The sequence below is a fragment of the Homo sapiens genome, chromosome 18 (assembly GCF_000001405.40).
Source record: "Homo sapiens chromosome 18, GRCh38.p14 Primary Assembly".
In the NCBI taxonomy this organism is placed as follows: Eukaryota; Metazoa; Chordata; class Mammalia; order Primates; family Hominidae; genus Homo; species Homo sapiens.
In genome coordinates this window covers 49,075,032-49,095,781 of record NC_000018.10, presented here as the reverse complement: position 1 = coordinate 49,095,781, position 20,750 = coordinate 49,075,032, and the positions used below count along the sequence as shown (strand labels likewise).

The 20,750-nt window shown below is 41.4% G+C and overlaps 1 protein-coding gene across 39 annotated transcripts in view; it reads left to right on the top strand.

The window, feature by feature from the left end:
* Positions 1–20,750, top strand: part of DYM (dymeclin) — a 424,259-nt gene that overhangs the window by 364,864 nt on the left and 38,645 nt on the right. For 6 of the 39 annotated variants that reach the window (XM_047437559.1, XM_047437554.1, XM_047437555.1 and 3 more), the window contains one exon: positions 2,471–2,565. The exons of 25 other annotated variants lie outside the window; for them this stretch is intronic. In XM_047437559.1, the coding sequence (XP_047293515.1) occupies positions 2,471–2,565 (95 nt within the window). Of the gene's footprint in view, positions 1–2,447; positions 2,566–3,156; positions 3,681–20,750 lie in introns of those variants that run through there. 8 more of the 39 variants (XM_017025795.2, XM_011526037.2, XM_011526038.3 and 5 more) reach the window with 3 other exon arrangements.

Here is a 20,750-nt window from a genome sequence, read left to right as displayed (position 1 = left end):
GTTCATTTATTATACTATATTCAAAAATAAAATGTCATTTATATTTGAGACAGTGACATATAAACAAAAATGTAACTCTTTTCGTTTTTCAGAATTATGGCTAAATAGAGAAAATAATTGATCTATGGTGGGTCCCAGGCAAGTTGACTCTGATTTAGAGCAAGATCCTATTGAGGCCAAGGTCATGGGTAAATTTCTTAAGAGGGCCAGTTAATTTGGTTCTGGAACATAGCAAGAAGTTGTACTCCTGACCTCAGCTTGCCAACTCACTTCATGGTTGCAAAAGGATAGAAGATGGATGATTCAGTTTAAAAACAAAACAAAAAAAAAAAAACACTATCACCAGTACTAGAAAAGATTACATTTACTAAAATTACATTTACCCACAGATGGTGAGTCATCCTAGTTGGTTTAAATGATAGCATATTATTACCACAGATGTTACTAGAAATAAAAGGCTGTTTATCCTTACAATCAAGCCTTATCTCAATTATTTTAATCATCTTTTTGGATTGAGTGTTTATAATAAAATGAGTCACTTAAAATCTCTAGAGTTTAATTCACAGAATACCACGGTATCTAAAGTTGATTCAAAATTCAAGCTGTGTTGAGTAATGTTTACATGATACTACATGACAGCACATTATAGTCTTTGGAGTAGTTTACTAATATATACTGATAAAATAATTGTCGGGTGTGTAATAATAGTTTCATACATGATATTGATGTAAAAGAGTTGGTTTCAAATTGGAAATGCTGTCTTAATAAGCCCTCTATGAAAATGTGGAATAATATATACTAATTGATTTGTTGTTTCTTAAAATATATAAATTAAACACTTAGAAACTCAGAATTCTTTACTACTACCTTCTGGGTTGTTAAGAGGATCACAGCGCCCCTTACTCATGAAAAATTCACCAGCTAATGTCAGCTGAAGCCGATGAGCCAAAAGTTTTAGAACTTTCCCTTGCATTGTAGAATTGAAGCCAACTTTGTAGAAGTAGTATTCTTCCAATTTTGGGCAAGTAAACAGTAAGATCTGGAAGCCCATGGAAGAGTAATTGACTTCCAACCAAATAAAATATTTTTCAATCAAATATTATTTGACATAGCCTTCTAAAATATTTGTGTAATATCCTATGTGGGAATGCATACTATTTGGATAAATCTGTCTATATAGTTAAACAACTTGGCTGTTCAGAGTAAATAGTATTAATATCATTCTAAACATTCTCTTCTTACTGGTATTCTGTGAAGTCTGGGAAAGGCAATACCAGGTAATTATTTTTTCCGGAGCCTCCTGCTTAAACAGAGACCTAAAGAACAGGCTCTGAAATCCTGAGTCACTTATTTCTCCTTTAGGATTTGGAAGGAAATAAATAAAGTTAGTATGTCCTCTGGGAGCCGACTTAGAAGCCGCAGCTCAAAGCTCTCACTGTCTGTATCCACAACAGGGCATGTTCCTGGCTCGCATTTTGCTTACTGTGGAGCAATTTGAATGTCATGGTGATGGGTCAGAATTCTTCCAGATCCGTGCGTGTTCTCATACCACTACCACCTCAGATTTTATTATGTTGGGCTCTCAAGTCCCCTCTTTTCTTCAGTTTAGTGAATTATCTATGTCATTTGAGGATTAAGAATTTTACTGTATTTAGTGTTTGAAAACTAGGTAGTGCTTTTCAAGGGGAATTAACCAGAAGATAACTTATCTTTTAGTGTAAATAAGAAAGTGTGGAATAATATGTTATTGACATTAACCAAACTTCATTTACTCAAGACACTTGATAAGTCATAGGAATTAAAAGTAATTACCAGTTTCACACTAAATGATTTTTAAAGCCTTTATTTTATATCCACTTTTTAGAATACTTTCATGGTTGTTTTTAGTTGCATAAAGAAAAATATAAAAAATCATATCAACTAACTTGCTTAAAACCTTTCACTTTGCTCCTATTCAGGGGTCTCTTCCCTATCTCACCCTAAGCATCTTTCGTTTCTTTGTCAGTTCTCTATCCCCAGAGCAGATTCCTGAGTGCTGTACTGGGAGGGCCCCTTGGGGTCCCACAGGAACAACCCCCATGTGTCCACAGTCACTCTCTTCTGCCTCCCCACACATCCACACTCCTCGTGTATCTCTACCTGTGGAAATATGAATAGCCAGCATCCTCCCTCTAACTCAAAAGTACTGTTAGATCCCAAACCCTAGAAATTCTCATTTCTCAAGTCATTCCTTTCCCTCCACGTTGCCGCCCTCCCATGTGGCTGCTCCACATTTCTCCCACAGTCTATTGCTATAAACTCCTAATTGGGGTCTCCACTTCCACATCCTTCTTCCTCCCCAGGTGTTCTTAGCCCTGTTGCCACCCTTACACCCTGCTCTGATCCAGCACACAAGGCACTTCATGGCCTAACTCCTGACTTAAGTTGTGTTCTTTTTCCTCCTACGGATCCTGTGCTCCAACGCTGTCAGCCGCTGGCCGATCGTCAGGTGGACAGAGTCCTTGCATGCCAGGCCTTTGTGTATGCAGCTTCTGGGTTCTCACAGTTTCATGGCTTGTCTGTCAGGTGAGCCGATCATGCTCCCCGCTTTCTATGAAGCCCACTCTGATTCACCCACGCACACTCGGTGGTTTTCTCCACATTCCTATGGCACACGTATGTCCCTCCATTATAGCAAAACCATCCCCCAGCACACCCATCTCATTCAATACATATTCGTGGGGTAAATTAACTTCACCCTGCCTCTGGATTCCTATTTCTCTCCTTCTTCTCAGCCAAAATCTTGATTTCTCCTTTGGTCCTTCAACTCTCCTTATTCACTGCACAGCATTAGTGCAGAACATTAAAGGAGGGACTCCCAGTGAGGAGTGAGGCTTTTCTCCATGGCTTGCTGTCCCAAGGACCTCTCAGCCCAGGCTCTCTGGTGGAAGACTAAGGGTCTCTTACCGCTAAGCTTTCCCTGCTAGTTGGTTTTCCTGTATTTGGCCCTTCTCCTTCTACCACCCTTCTCCTTCTGTCCCCAGATTTGCTTCTCAGGATGTATGCACCCACCTGTCCCTTTACATTAATTTGCATCATCATCATCATCACCGATATCACCTATAATATACAAGCAAAGCATCTCTTACAAATGTGGTTTGTTTCTTCCTACTGCAGCTCGTTATTTTACCCCCACTTTGACCACAACATTGCTAGGACGTTGGGGAAACAGAAGTGTGTAAGACACCACCTCTGCCCTCAGAAAAATGTATCATCTTTCAGGAGAGAAAGGCACCCCCTTGCGTTGCAGAGCTGAGTAGAGCAGGGCACTTTACGCTGCGTGTAAAATGAATGGTGTAGAAGTTAAGTTCTGGAAGAAGGAGTGGAGACACTGCTGGGAAGAACTAGTCAGGGAACACTGAAGAGAAACCTGGACTTGACCTTCTCTGTCTTAAAGGGATGGTAAGGTTTCCATAAAGCTGGGATGAAAGAGAAATCCAGATGGGGAAATCTGTGTGTGAGTACAAGAGAAGGCCCAAGGCAAGTTCAGCTTAGTGTCCAACTGGAACAATAGGACTCCCCTATTTCTCTCTGCTGTATTAATGTGGCTTGTATTATTTAATGGTACAGTAAAGTAATTAGTGGTTTTCAAACTCTTTAGACTGCCACCCACAGCAAAAAATACATTTTACATCATGATACAATTCACACATTTATATACAACTGAAATGAAAGTTTGATAAAACAGTACTTACCATCATTAAATGTGATGGGCTCCGATATTGCCTATTCTGTTTTCTTTTTTTAAAATTGCTAGTCAGACCCATTAAATTGATTTAATGATCCAGTATTATTTAGTAACTCAGAGAGTTTTAAAAATAATGTGTCAAGGCTGGGCGCAGTGGCTCACACCTGTAATCCCAGCACTTTGGGAGCTGGAGGCGGGCAGATCACGAGGACAGGAGTTTGAGACCAGCCTGACCAATGTGATGAAACCGAGATCATGCCACTGCACTCCAGCCTAGGGGACAGAGCGAGACTCCATCTCAAAATAAATAAATAAATAAATAAATATTAAATCACTGTTTTTCAAAGTGTGATCCTCATAGCATCATCAGCATCCCCTAGGAACTTGCTAGAAATGGAGGTTCTCAGGCCCTACCCCAGACCCATGGAATTAGAATCTATGGGGCTGGGGCAGTCAGCGCTTTAACATCAGCCGCTGTGTGAACTGATGCCTGCTCCAGTTTGAGAAGCACAGTACTAGGTAATTGCTCCAAACACACCAGCCCTCTCCACTCGTAGAGCCTTGCCTGGCTCACTCTCCCTGCTCCAGATATCTGCTGGCCTCATTCCTGCATGTCCTTCAAGTCTTTACTCTCATGAGCAAATGAAATCTCTCTCTCCATCATGCCTGCCCGACCTTCCAGGTAACATTTCTGCACTCCCAGCCCCCCAATCCTACTGTATGTTTTCTTGTTCCGCAGCATTGTCATCTAGCATACTGTATAATTATTTATTATTATCCTCCTAGATAATGTAAGCTCCAGGAGGCCAGGGGTCTTCATATTTTGTTTACTGGGGTATCTGAAGTGTACCTGGTACATACTGGGCACTTTAATATTTGCTGAATGGGAGGGAGGGAGGAAATGAGAAAGAGAGGGATACCAACGAACAATGGGCCTGTTGACCATAAAGTGCTGCTTCAAGAAAACATTCTTTGAAGAACAGCTCTCCATAGACTCTTAAAAGGTCAGCTTTTATTCCAAAATATTATAAAGAAGCTCAGTTAAGACTGGAGGTCTTGGTCACTTTGTTGGAATAGTTGCTTTTTAAAAGTCTACATTATTCCACATTTATGCATTCTTATAGCTACAAAACCCTACTGTGAAGACCTCCACTTTAGTAGTTCTCATCAATAAGCTAATTCCTATGTAAATTGGCCTAACTAAATTTTCAATAGTTTCTCAGTGGTTCTCTTCTTGACTGTCACCTGCAGTGATTTCATAGTTCAAGCAGAGTAAAATATTCTGATTTATGGTATTAGGATAAATTTTTCCAGTGATCTCATTTTTTCCTATTTCTGAACCTTTCTCAGAGGGTGAAGAGCATGGAGGGCCTGTCAGGCTCTATGAGAGTCCAATAAAGAGCCACTGTTTGCTTTTTCTGGTTCATTCTCTCTACTTTCCCTGATCCATGTAGAGCATGTGTATGTTCAGGGCCTGACAGAAAGTCGAGGAGACCGAGTGCCTGACACCGTCCACCAGCCCAACAGCAAAACCTCTTCTTCAGACTAAATCTGCTTCTAGCTTATAGCTACTTTAATTGTACAAATGACGTCATTTGACTTTTTTCTCCTGTTTTTATTTTTATCACTTTAGACTTTTAAAAAATTGTTTTCTCTCTTTCCTGAAATATTGTTACCTTTTTGCTGGGGGATGAGAGCTAGGAAGCATTCAGCATAAAGGAGATAGCTCTGTGCTGGGCTTCTATCCTCAAAGGAGAGATGACATTTCTGCCATTTCACCGGGCCCAAAATGTTCTCTGCAGAATTCAACAATCACAGTGGCTCTCCCTCCCATTCTGACTCTCCTTGAGTTTCTTGTCCAATAAAGACAAAGATCAAGTCTTATAAGTTACTTCTGCCTCCCATGGAATAGTAAACACAGGCTTATAAATGGATCCGGAAACTGCTAGAATAATGTAATACCTGATTCTTAGAACCATTTAGTCCTCATATGAGAAATTTTATGTTATGAACTCCATGGTCTGACATGCACACGTGCACACACACACACATTTGCAGGATGTTGGTACAGCTTTCCAAGTCACCAGTTCTACATATTGAGAAGGAAGCAAATGGGAAATCTTAGCCAAGGCCAGTCCCTCAGTTGAATCCCTCCAGAGTCATTTTGCAGGACAAGGACTGTAGAAAGGCATAATAGAACACCCATAATGTTGATACTAGAATCTCTTCTGTATTGGGGTTATCTAAGAAGGAATCTGGTCACATTGATTCTCCCTCCATCAAAATGAGGATTTCAAGAGAATTCTCTTAATTAATGAACAGTCACCTGGAGCACTCTTTTCATATGCAGGTTCCGGATCCCACCTGAGATTCTAACCTAGTAGACTGGTGATGAACTCAGGAATCTGTCTGGTTAAACAGTTCTTTGAGCAGTGCTGATAACCTGCCAGATTTGGGAACCACTACTGTATGGACCAGTTTTCTTCAATTCCCTGCCCTCACAAAAACTAAGGAGATGATGGCTAGGATTAACAGTTGGCCTTGATAAGGTTGGAGCTGTTTTCTCCAACTTCCCTACAAAAGACAGAGAACTTTCACTTTGTGATCCTTAAAGTAGATTCCTTTAAAGTAGAAAATATTTTACATGTAACCCAAATATAAGATGAGAATTACTTTAAAATGAGACAGAGTAGTAAAATTCCATTAATAAAGTCTGTGGCCTTTTAAATGTTGCATATGCTTTTCAGTCTGACATAAGTATCCCTCTTTTGACTCAACTTCCTTTTTCTTTGTTGTTTACTATTCAGTTAACATTAATTGAGCACTTGCTCTATACCAGGTGCTCTGGTAGGTATTTTTATATAGGTGATCTCATTTAGTCTCCCTAGCAATTCTATGAGGTGTAAGCATAATTTCCATTCTGCAAGTGAGGAAACTGAGGCTAAGGAGTTCTTTGGAGCCAGGTGCAGTGACTCATACCTGTAATCCCAGCAGTTTGAGAGGCTGAGGCAGGAGGATCACTTGATCTCAGGAGTTTGAGACCAGCCTGGAAAACATAACAAGACCTCATCTCTACTAAAACGCCCCCCTAAAATATTAGCCAGGTGTGGTGGTGCACACCTGTAGTCCCAACTATTCAGGGGGCTAAGGCAGGAGGATCGCTTGTGCCCTGGAAATTGAGGCTGCAGTGAGCCCTGATCCTACCACTGTACTCCACCCTGGGTGACAGACAAGATTATTTTAGTCCCTCTTATCTTTGAGCCATGAATTTCAGCTATTCCTTCTTTCAGATCCTAAATTTTTGCTTCCTCTTAACCCATTTGCTTATTAGACCAATTTGTGTAACTGAAAGCATACATAATACACCAAATTAAGTCCTTGAGTTTGACAATATTTGTACTCAGTGTTGTAGAGTAACCTTTGAAATGTTTGAAAGTTATGTCCATTGCTGCTTTATGGAGTACTGTTTAAAAAAGGCTGTTAGGCCTTTTTTTTTTTTTTTTTAAGTTCTAGGGTACATGTGCACAATGTGCAGGTTTGTTACATATGTATACATGCACCATGTTGGTGTGCTGCACCCATTAACTTGTCATTTACATTAGGCATATCTCCTAATGCTATCCCTTCCCCCTCCCCCTACCCCACAACAGGCCCTGGTGTGTGATGTGAAATGGGGAAAGGATTCCCTATTTAATAAATGGTGCTGGGAAAACTGGCTAGCCTTATGTAGAAAACTGAAACTGGATCCCTTCCTTACACCTTATACAAAAATTAATTCAAGATGGATTAAAGACTTAGGTGTTAGACCTAAAACCATAAAAACCCTAGAAGAAAACCTAGGCAATACCATTCAGGACATAGGCATGGGCAAGGACTTCACATCTAAACACCAAAAGCAATGGCAACAAAAGCCAAAATTGACAAATGGGATCTAATTAAACTAAAGAGCTTCTGCACAGCAAAAGAAACTACCATCAGAGTGAACAGGCAACCTACAGAATGGGAGAAAATTTTTGCAATCTACTCATCTGACAAAGGGCTAATATACAGAATCTACAAAGAACTCAAACAAATTTACAAGAAAAAAACAACCCCATCAAAAAGCAGGCACAGGATATGAACAGATATTTCTCAAAAGAAGACATTTATGCAGCCAAAAGACACATGAAAAAATGCTCATCATCACTGGCCATCAGAGAAATGCAAATCAAAACCACAATGAGATACCATCTCACACCAGTTAGAATGGCAATCATTAAAAAGTCAGGAAACAACAGGTGCTGGAGAGGATGTGGAGAAATAGGAACACTTTTACACTGTTGGTGGGACTGTAAACTAGTTCAACCATTGTGGAAGTCAGTGTGGCGATTCCTCAAGGATCTAGAACTAGAAATACCATTTGACCCAGCAATCCCATTACTGGGTATATACCCAAAGCATTATAAATCATGCTGCTATAAAGGCCTTTCTTGTACATAATATTGAAATTGCAGTAAACATACAATGGCTTAATGTCATATTTACTTTTGGCTAATCATTCTTGATAAACAGGCTAGCCCATGATATTCATTATAATGTCTTACATTATTTTTGTTTAATTAAATATGTGGTAGATGTGTAAGCAATTTTTAAGCAGTTTTATTCTTTGCAATGGATAAGCAAATTAAGCATAGTTTTTACTTTGTAATCCTAGAGTAGAAAAATTTAGTCTTTATTATTATTGCATCTTGAATGTAGTCATAAACTAAAACACTTAATTGAAAAGTGATAAATATCTAATTTTTTTGGTAGCAAAATAAATCTTGCCCAGTATTTTAGTTTGTTCAGGCTGCTATAACAAAATACTTTAAACTGGGTAGTGTGTAAATAACAGAAATTTGTTTCTCAGAGTTCTGGAGACTGGGAAGTCTAAGATCAACATGTCAGCAGATTTAGTGTCTGGTAAGGGACTGCTTCCTGGTTTATAGATGGCCATCTTCCTGCTTTATCTTCCACATGGCAGAAGGGGTAAGGGAGCTTTCTGGAGTCTCTTTTATTTTTATGTATTTTTTTTTTATTTTTATTTTTTGACATGAGCTTCACTCTGTTACCCGGGCTAGAGTGCGGTGGCATGATCTCAGCTCACTGCAACCTCCACCTCCTGGGTTCAAGCAATTCTCCTACCTCAGTCTCCCGAGTCGCTGGGATTACAGCTACGCACCACCATGCCTGGCTAATTTTTGTATTTTTAGTAGTGATGGGGTTTTCCTATGTTGGCCAGGCTGATCTCGAACTCCTGACCTCAGGTGATCCACCCACCTTAGCCTCCCAAAGTGCTGGGATTACAGAGCCACCGCGCCCAGCCCTGCAGTCTCTCTTTTGAGGGCACTAATCCCCTTCATGAGGCTCCACCTTCATGCCCTAATTATTTCCCCAAAGCCTCACCTCCAAATACTATCACACTGGAGATTAGGATTCCACATATTAACTTTAGGGGAACACATTCAATCTATGGCACCTAGTTCTCCAGACCATGGTGCTGTGGTTTGAATGTCCCCTCCAAACGTATGTTGAGACTTAATTCCCCAGTGCAGCCGTATTGAGAGGTGGGGCCTTTAAAGTGTGATTGGATCATGAGGGCTCTGCTCTTGTGACTAGATTAATCCATTCATGGAGTAACGGCTAATGGATTAATGGGTATCATGGGAGGGGGACTTGTGGCTTTATAAGAGGAGAAAGAGAGGCCTGAGCTAGCACATTTAGCCCCCTCCCCATGTGATGCCCTGCACTGCCTTGGGACTCTGCAGAGGGTCTCCACCAGCAAGAACACCCTCACCAGATGCAGCCCAACCTGGGACTTCTAAGCCTCCATATCTGGAAGAAATTCCTTTCTTAAAATAATTACCCAGTTTCAGGTATTCTCTTATAAGCAGCAGAAAATGGACTAGGACACATGATTTCCAATGACTGCAGGACCCAAGTTCACAATGCAAGGGCAGTTCTGGAAAAGGCTGGCATTCTTCAGTAGGAAAGGAAACATTAAGCTGTGTGATTTTACCTTGAAATCCCCGCTATTAGTTTTGATAGAATTTTCTTTGGTCAGAAATGTGTCATTCACAAACTAAAATTTCCTAAAAAGATAACTGTGGTGCTTAAAAAAATAGAACCAGTTGCCAGGAGCAGTGGCTCATGCCTGTAATCCCAGCACTTTGGGAGGCCAAGGCGGGTGGATCACCAGTCAGACGTTCAAGAGCAGCCTGGCCAAGATGGTGAAACCCCGTCTCTACTAAAAATACAAAAATTAGCCAGGCGCGGTGGCAGGTGCCTATAATCCCAGCTACTTGGGAGGCCGAGGCAGGAGAATCACTTGAACCCGGGCAGCAGAGGTTGCAGTGAGCTGAGATCACACCACTGCACTCCAGCCTGGGTGACAGAGTGAGACTCCATCAAAAAAAAAAAAAAAAAAAAAGGACCAGTTGTCCTTATTCATCTGCCTCAATTTTGACTCTTCTGTTAGATTTGTCCAAATGTTGGACCAGTATTTCAGGGAACTTCCTAATCTCTGACTAATATAATGTCAGTTACTGGATTGTGAAAATCACTCCCAGCATGTTCTACTTGCCCCACTTGAAGAATATCCACTATTTTTAAAAACCCTAACATTAAAAATGGTAAGTTGGAGACGATTTGTGTCTAGAAATGATCTTTGCACATCAAAGCATGTTCTTTCAAATAGAAATTACCCTATTAGATTTAAAATATGAAATAGTTCACTTAAAGTCACCTTTTCTTTAGCATTAGATAAGTTAAACTTGAGATGGGTTTGGTATTAAATTATATTGTTGCTCACTAGTCTCACAGTGAGATTGGAGGGAACATATTTTATACCCAATTTCGGAAGTTTATTGAGTCATAAGAGTAATCCCTGTTTTTGGTCATACATTGTATCTAGAACATAGTCAAGGTCTCATCTACTAATAAAGCTACACCCCTTCTTCTTTTTCAGTGTAAATTGAGAGATCATATATACAAATAAACTATAGATGTATACTGTAAAATAATAGTTAGAAAGTGAGTATCCATATAATGGCTTTTCATATCAAGAAATGGTCATTGCCAACAGCCCAGAAGTCCCAATATACCCTCTGGAACTAAAAACTGTCCTGACTTTGGGTATAACTGTCATCGTCTTCATAATTTTACCATCTGCGTGTATATTTCTAAACAATGTGGTTTCCAATTCTGACCTTTTCATAAATGAAACCATGCACTATATTTTCCTTTGCAACTTTCTTCTTCCAGTCAACATTTTGTTGATGAGAGCCATTTATGTTGTTAGACAACATTTGTTCCTGTCCACTGATGTATTAGTATTACATTACATAAATAGTTCACAGTTTCTCCATTCTATTGGTGGACATCTAGATTATTTCAAATTTTGAGCTACTAAAAAAATTCCCCAAAATAAATGAAACAAAACTTGACAGAACTGAAAAGAAGTAGAGACAATTCAAAAATAATAGTTGGAGACTAATGCCCCAGTAGTAGAACAACTAGATAGAAAGACAGCAAGAATATAGGTTTAAACAGCACTATCAACCAACATGATCTAACTAACATCTATAGAGCATTCTACCCAATGGCAGCAGAATACATATTCTTTTCAAGTACACATGGAACACTCTCCAGGATAGACCATGTGCTGGGTCACAAAACAAGTCTCAGATTTGAAAGGATTGAAATCAAACAGATATGTTTATTGACCACAACATAATTAAATTAGAAATAAACAAAAGAAAGGTATTTGGAAAAGCTTCTAATATTTGGAAATTAAGCAGCATACTTTTAATAGGTCATAAGGAAAATTTAAAGACAGTTTGAACTAAATGAAAATATAAATACAGCATATCAAAATTTGTGAGATGCGGCTCAAGTGGTGCTTACAGGAAAATTTATAACTTTAAATCCTACATTAGAATAAAAGAAAACATCAGATAATCTAAGCTTCTACCTTAAGAAACTAAAAAGAAAAGCAAATTAAACCTCAAATAAGCAAAAGGGCAGAAATCATAAAGATCAGAGCACAAATCAATGAAGAGAAAACAATAGATAATATCAGTGAAACTAAAAGCTGATTCTTTGAAAAGATCAATAAAATGGATAAGACTTTACCTAGAATGAGCAAGAAAAAAAGAAGAGACACAGATTACCAAAGTGAAGAATGAAAAAAGAGCACCGTTATTGACCCTGTAGAAATTAAATATAAAGGAATACAATATTAGAAACAAATTGAAATGAACAAATTAAACATTGTAGATGAAATGAGCAATTCTTAGAAATATACAAATTATCAAAACTGACTTAAAAAGAAATATTAAAAACTGAATAGACCTATCACTATTTTTTAAATGAATTAGTAATTAAAATCTTCCCATAAAGAAGAACACAGGCTCATATGTCTTCACTGGTAAATAGTTTTTGCAAAGAAATAATGTGAATCCTACACAGACTCTTTCAGAAACTAGAGTAAGAAAAAGGAATGCTACCCAGCTCATTCAGGGAGGCCAGTATGACCTTGATAACAAAATCAGACAGAGACATCACAGGAAAAGAACAGACCAGTATCTCTCATGAACAGAGACACAAAAAAATCCTTTACAAAATATTAGCAAACTGACACCAGCAGTGTACAGAAAGGATTGTACACCATAACCAAGTCAGATTTATCCCAGGAATACAAAATTAGTTTAATATCCAAAACTGAAATAGTATAATATGCCATATTAGTAGACTAAAGGACAAACCACATGATCATTTTAATAGACCAAGAATCAACAAACCACAACCCACAGGCCAAATCCTGCCTGCCACCTATGTTTGTAAGTACAGTTTTCTTGGAACACAGCTACACCCACTTATTTATGTATTGTCTGTGTCTCCTTTCACACGACAGTAGCAGAGTCAAGTAGTTGTGACAAAGATCATATTGGCTCACAAAGCCTAAAATGTTTATTACTGGGCCCTTTATAGAAAATGTTTGCTGACCCCCACAATACACACAGACAAAACCTAACATCTGTTCATGATAAAAATTCTCACACAACTAGGAATATAAGGTAAATTCCTCACCTGACAATGGGCACTTGGAAAAAACCTACGGCTAACGTCACACATAATGATGAAAGACTAAATTCTTTTTCCACTGATCAGGGACAAAGCAAGAATGTCGGCTCCCAGCACATGTATTCAGCATTGTGCTTGAGGCCCTAGAAGAGCATACAACAAGATAAAGAAATCAAATGTATACACATTAAAAAATGAATAAGTAAAACTGTCTGTATTTGGCCAATCATGCCACTTCCTGTCTTTCTTTGAAATTCTACCCATGTTTCCAAAAGCATTGCCAAAACCCTCTCTCCAAGTTCTTCTTTACCATTCTGTACTGTTTTTATCTCCTGCTACCTTGTGTATTAATATGTATGTGTATACTTTAATCTCATTTCATTTTTAAGTTAATTGTTGTGTTTTCTATGTTTATGTCACCCTATAGCATATTGACATAATACACTACCTTGCACAGAATAGCTACTTGTTAAATATTTCTGAATAAAATAATGCAGTGTGGTTGAAAGTTGGCTTGGGAATTAAGTTTTTGCTTCTAGGTATCAAGACCCTACCAGATAATACACCCTACAGAAAACAACTAGAAAGTCTGAACATATAATATGAAACACAACTACTTGAAGATACTGGAGAATGAATAGAAGCAAACCATTTCAGGCTGTTTATGCTCATTTAGAGGAGAGGAAACAGGAAGCTATATACATACATTTCTATTTCCATGGCTTTTAGCCTGGGACCAAGTACAGTCCATGTAGTTCGTGGCATGGTGGCAAGCACCTCACATGGAAGACTCTTGATATTTCTGGCCTGGGAAATCACAGAAGAGAAACTGGGAAAGCATGAATGCTGAAGAGAGTAGAAGAATCCTAGAAGGGAAAGAGCTGGAAGGGAATTCCCAAACTGCCTGTCTACATCTCTGAATCATAGCAGCTCAGCTAGAAACCAAAACTCTGAACTAAGACCAGCTCTGAAGATACCGAAGAGTGAGCAGATGCAGAGACTCTCATGAAGAGGGTGCATTCTTCACTTGGAGGATGGAAAATAACAAACCTACTTCCTGACACTTTCAGCCTTGGGCTGACTGCAGTGACAGCATCACACTGCACACAGAGCAGAGGTGGGGCACATGTGGAAAAGTAGCAGAGCCTTTCTGGCCTGAAAACCAGAAAAGAGAAGTTGAGAATCCATAAACTCTGAAAATAGTGGAGGAATCCCAGAAGAGAAAGAGTCAGAGAAAGGAATCCTTAAACTCTGCCAGTCCACATCTTTGACTAAACCTTGAACCACACATCTGCAGAACAAACTTTAAACAGCCTGGCTAAAAACAAAAGATCAAAATACAGAGTTTTCAGTTCTAGCCCAGACAAGAATCTCTACAGCTCCCCTCTCCCCTCTCCCCTCTCCCCTCTCCCCTCTCCCCTCTCCCCTCTCCCTCTCGGTCTCCCTCTCCCTCTCTTTCCACGGTCTCCCTCTGATGCCGAGCCAAAGCTGGACTGTACTGCTGCCATCTCGGCTCACGGCGACCTCCCTGCCTGATTCTCCTGCCTCAGCCTGCTGAGTGCCTGCGATTGCAGGCACGCGCCACCACGCCTGACTGGTTTTCGTACTTTTTTGGTGGAGACGGGGTTTCGCTGTGTTGGCCGGGCTGGTCTCCAGCTCCTAACCATGAGTGATCCGCCAGCCTCGGCCTCCCGAGGTGCCGGGATTGCAGACGGAGTCTGGTTCACTCAGTGCTCAATGGTGCCCAGGCTGGAGTGCACTGGCGTGATCTCAGCTCGCTACAACCTCCATCTCCCAGCCGCCTGCCTTGGCCTCCCAAAGTGCCGAGATTGCAGCCTCTGCCCGGCCGCCACCCCGTCTGGGAAGTGAGGAGCGTCTCTGCCTGGCCGCCCATCGTCTGGGACGTGAGGAGCCCCTCTGCCTGGCTGCCCAGTCTGGAAAGTGAGGAGCGTCTCTGCCCGGCCGCCATCCCATCTAGGAAGTGAGGAGCACCTCTTCCCCGCAGCCATCCCATCTGGGAAGTGAGGAGCGTCTCTGCTCGGCCGCCCATCGTCTGAGATGTGGGGAGCGCCTCTGCCCGGCCGCCACCCCGTCTGGGAGGTGAGGAGCGTCTCTGCCCAGCCGCCCCGTCTGAGAAGTGAGGAGACCCTCCGCCCGGCATCCGCCCCGTCTGAGAAGTGAGGAGCCCCTCCGCCCGGAGCTGCCCCGTCTGAGAAGTGAGGAGCCCCTCTGCCCGGCAGCCACCCCGTCTGGGAAGTGAGGAGCGTCTCTGCCCGGCAGCCGCCCCGTCCGGGAGGGAGGTGGGGGGGGTCAGCCCCCCGCCCGGCCAGCCGCCCCGTCCAGGAGGGAGGTGGGGGGGTCAGCCCCCGCCCGGCCAGCCGCCCCGTCCGGGAGGTGAGGGGCGCCTCTGCCCGGCCGCCCCTACTGGGAAGTGAGGAGCCCCTCTGCCCGGCCAGCCGCCCCGTCCGGGAGGTGAGGGGCGCCTCTGCCCAGCCGCCCCTACTGGGAAGTGAGGAGCCCCTCTGCCGGGCCAGCCACCCCGTCCGGGAGGGAGGTGGGGGGCTCAGCCCCTCGCCCGGCCAGCCACCCCGTCCGGGAGGGAGTTGGGGGGGGTCAGCCCCCCGCCCGGCCAGCCACCCCGTCCGGGAGGTGAGGGGCGCCTCTGCCCCGCCGCCCCTACTGGGAAGTGAGGAGCCCCTCTGCCCGGCCAGCCGCCCCGTCCGAGAGGGAGGTTGGGGGGTCAGCCCCCCACCCGGCCAGACGCCCCGTCCGGGAGGGAGGTGGGGGGGTCAGCCCCCCCCCGGCCAGCCGCCCCGTCCGGGAGGGAGGTGGGGGGGTCAGCCCCCCGCCCGGCCAGCCGCCCCGTCCGGGAGGTGAGGGGCGCCTCTGCCCGGCCACCCCTACTAGGAAGTGAGGCACCCCTCTGCCCAGCCAGCCGCCCCGTCCGGGAGGTGAGGGGCGCCTCTGCCCGGCCGCCCCTACTGGGAAGTGAGGAGCCCCTCTGCCCGGCCACCACCCCGTCTGGGAGGTGTACCCAACAGCTCATTGAGAACGGGCCGGGATGACAATGGCGGTTTTGTGGAATAGAAAGGGGGGGAAGGTGGGGAAAAGATTGAGAAATCGGATGGTTGCCGTGTTTGTGTAGAAAGAAGTAGACATGGGAGACTTTTCATTTTGTTCTGTACTAAGATAAATTCTTCTGCCTTGGGATCCTGTTGATCGGTGACCTTACCCCCAACCCTGTGCTCTCTGAAACATGTGCTGTGTCCACTCAGGGTTAAATGGATTAAGGGCGGTGCAAGATGTGCTTTGTTAAACAGATGCTTGAAGGCAGCATGCTCGTTAAGAGTCATCACCACTCCCTAATCTCAAGTACCCAGGGACACAAACACTGCGGAAGGCCGCAGGGTCCTCTGCCTAGGAAAACCAGAGACCTTTGTTCACTTGTTTATCTGCCCACCTTCCCTCCACTATTGTCCTATGACCCTGCCAAATCCCCCTCTGCGAGAAACTCCCAAGAATGATCAATAAAAAAAATAAAAATAAAAAAAAAAAAAAAGAATCTCTACAATGTAACATTAATATTATTCAGGATACAACCCAAAATGTCCCGACATCCACAGAATCAAGAAAATGGAACACATTTTCTGCACACAGCAATCAAGTTTTCTACCCCAAGACGAACCAGATGTTAGAACCAACAAAGATTTTGAAGTAACTACTATGGCTTTCCTCATTTTTTTTCTTTGCATGAAACATGTTTTTAATGCATGAACATTCCAGCAGAGAAAGGAGATGTCTCAGCCGAGAAATAGAAACAATTAAAAAGGGCCAAATGGAAAAAAGACAGACAGTTGCAGATATGAGATGCTGACACCAAACAGAATAAACACAAAGAATCTCATGTCAAGGCATTGTAGCATCAAAGCTGTTGAAAGCCAATGACAAAAACCAAGAGAAAAACAACAAAGTATAACATAGTACCAAATTCCCTTATGCGGGAACAACTCAATTAACCTTGCACTTCTCATTAGAAGTCAGAGAGTCTCAAAGAGAATGGAACAGTGCTAAAGGAAGTTCTTCAGGCTGAGCAAAAATGATGCCGGATGGAAACTCAGGCTTTCAGAGAGGAAGGAAAAATATTTACAAGAAGTAGTAAATATCTAAGTAAATATATAACATTCATATTTATATTTTCCATTCTCTTTGCCTTCTTCCCTTCCTCCCTTTCCTCCCTTCTTTCTCTTTAATTTTTAAATAAACTAAAATTCCTAAATGACATGGTGGCAAGCACCTCACATGGGAAACTCTTGATATTTCTGACCTAGAAAAGCACAGGAGAGAAGCTGGGAAAGCATAAATGCTGAAGAGAGTAGAAGAATCCCAGAAGGGAAAGAGCCGGAAGGGAATAACCAAAATTATCACATTGGTTTTTAGGATTTATAATCTATGTAGATGTATATATAACAACTATAGTATATAGGAGAGGAGAGGAGGGATATGGCCCTGTATGGTTGTGACAGTTGTATAGTTTACATGAAGTAGTATATATATATATATATTTTAATTTTTGTGGGTGCATAGGTATATTTATGGGGTACATGAGATGTTTTGATACAGGCATGCAACGTGAAATAAGCACATCATGGAGAATGGGGTATCCATCCCCTCAAGCATTTATCCTTTGAGTTACAGACAATCCAGTTATTCTCTAAGTTATTTTAAAATATGCAATTCAGTTTTTACTGACTATGGTCACCCTAAGTAATATATTATTATCTGTAAGTTGACTGAGAAAAGTTAAGAGTGTATATTGTCATCTCTAGGGCAACCACTGTAAAAGTAATAAAAAAATGAATAGCTCAAAAGCCAACAGAAAAATTAGAATTCTTAAAAACATTCAAATAATTTTTTCCCCAAAGCAGGAAAGGAGGAACAAAACAAGAGAGGATTTGAGTAGAAAGCAAAATATGATATTGGCAGATGCAAACCTAACCATATCAATAATTACATGGAATGTTAATGGACCAAACACTCATTAAAAAGCAAGAATTGTCAGAATGGATAAAATAAGACCCAACTATATACTGTCTGCAAAGGATATGCTTTAACTATAAAAATACAGGTTGAAAGCAAATCAGAAAAAGAGGTACCATGCAAACAGTAAGCATAACATGGCTTTACTAATGTCACATAATACAGATTTCAAAACAAAACCAAAGGTGAATGAGGATACTTCATAATGATCACAGGGACAATTCAAGAGGAAGACATAACAGGCACAAATGTGCATGTGCCAATAGCAAAGCTTCAATATCATGAAACAAAAAGCTGACAGACAACTCCACTGTGTTGGAGACTTAACCCTCCCTCAGCAACTGGTAGAACGTCTAGACCAGAAAAATTCACTGAAGACATAGAAAATCTGAAAAAGACTATCAACTACCTCACCTTGATTGATATTCCCAGAACATTTCACTGGACAGTGGCAGAAATTCACATTATTTTCGAATGTATATAACACCCTTACCAAGATAAATCCTATTTTGAGCCATAGAACAGATCTCAATAAGTTTAAAAAATTAGAATTGTCAAAGTTAAATTGATGAAATCAATAAAAGCTAGAAAAGGCAAAACTGAGAGAGAAAGCAGATCTGTGGCTTCCTTGGGCCCAGGGGGACAGCACAGAAAATCATGTGCAAAGGCACAGGAAGGGGCTTTCTACTCTGCATCTTAATTGTGGTGTGGTCACACAATTGTATACAAACGACGAAATTTATGAAATTGAACACTTAAAATTAGTAAATTTTATCTTGTGATCATCTCAAGAAGCAAAAAATAGGGGAACAGTCAGTTTGGTCATTTTCATCTAACAAATGCCAGAGTTCAATTTTAAATTGTAATTGGAGACCAGAAAAACATTGCCAAAAGGGAAAAAAGTCCTCCTGTGAAGCTCCCGTGTTGTGCAGGGCACCATATGTTTCACCACCTGAGACAAGAGCTAATTTATGGTTAGAGCGTTTAAAGAGTCCAGGTTTTTTGGAAAAAGGAACTATATACGAGTTAAGCTTCTGAGGAAGACTTAAGAGCATTCTTTCTCCACATTCCTTCTCGCACAGCCCAGAACTAGTCTTGTAACAGAAGAAAAGCTATGAAAGAATCACCCTGAAAAACCAGGCTTCTTTATGTGCAATGAGAAGATTTTTCATCTAAATATATTATCTGTTAAAAAGTGATCAGGGCTGACAGCAGCAGTCTGTTCTGTGGCATCCACAGCCTCTCTATGGTGTTCCCACGGAGAATTCTGGTAATAACAGATACCATATTTTTGCAGTACCTTCAAGGGTTGTTTTAAAGCAGAATGTACAATTCACCTCTTCCCAGGTGTCATCAGGATGTGAACATGCAGCACTTTATACTGTTATTACATTTTACATGATAACTCTTTATATAAAACATAAAATGGCTCCAGAAAAATGATTTTATATGGTACCTACTCTGAAAACCTAAACAAAATGGTGCTTGTTATTACATTGGTGTTGTGAATTACTTGAACTATTACGATAGCATGTTTCACTAAAACATATTTCAGTAGTTTACTTTTGGCATAATATCTGCAGCATGGAGAATAAGTGTCATCTCAAAGTAGAAAGGCATGGCATTTTTCTTAATGTGTCTTTCAGACTCAAAGTTTAAAACATCATAATATTTTTCCTGTGATTGCTACTATTTTTATATTCATATATCTCTACACACACATACACATACAGAGACACACAGATACATACAGAGAAAGATTATTCCCCAAATGAAAATATTTACTTTGAGCAATAAAATTAAGGGTGAGTTGGTTGGTTGATCCGTTTTGCTTTGCTTTTTTGAAATTTACTTTAATGTTGTTATACTGCCTGTACAGTAACAGGGTGCCCCTGCTAACACATTTCTGACATTGCCCTATCAAAATGGAGGATAAACATTGCCACAGCCCCAATGAAAGAAAAAATGTGTTATCAAGCTTTTAAGTGTATGGGGTTTAAACTCTTCTCATGTTACATCAGATCTTTACTGTAAACTAGCCAGAATATTTCCCAGCAGAAAATAGTAAGTGTGTCTTCAACTGCAAAGAGCACTTCATAAAACTCGTTTCACTACAAAACAGAGTAAACAGTCTTTTGATCCCTTCTTTTTCCCCACCTCAAAAGTTAAACTGCCATTCCTTGTTTCCAAGACTCACAGTAGTAAATGTTTTGAATTTTCCGTGTTGGAAAAATTCTGACATGGCATTATCTACTACCCCCACCATCAAAATGAAGATGGGACTATGTGTCTATAGTTTTCCTCGTACCAGTGGCCATTTTCCCAAGCAAGGATCCAGAAATGTGTATTTTCCTCTTGACTCTGCCATCGATTCCCTGTTTATCCTTCACTGAATCCTTCTTTCCCTACATTTCCTTGGCTCCATAATGGACATATTGGCTCACTTTAATTAAAGATTCCTGAGTGACCCTGATCCTTGGATGAAAATCTGAAGAGAGGGATAAGGAGTAATGGGATGGGAGTAGGGGAGTATCCCACAGCAGTATTCAGGAAACAAACCTTCAGCATTCAGGCTTTGTCTGTCCCCAACCAAGCCAGCACAACCTCCTCCTCAGGGGCTGCACACTCGGCCCTCAAATGGGATGGTATTGAGACTCATGTTGATGGACAGAAACCAAGAAGGAAGAGAAAGCAACTGAAAGAGGGAATGTCCCTGGCTTCTCATCATCATAAGTACTTGAGGTCCTTAGGGTTATGGGTCCTTACTGATTGTCTAGCTGTAAAATCTATGCTGTTCGTCTCTGTTCAGCAAGGAGACACAGGTGAAAGCTAGGTTTCCTGGCCTCCTGATTCTGGGGTTGATGAGCATCAGAGGAGACACCCA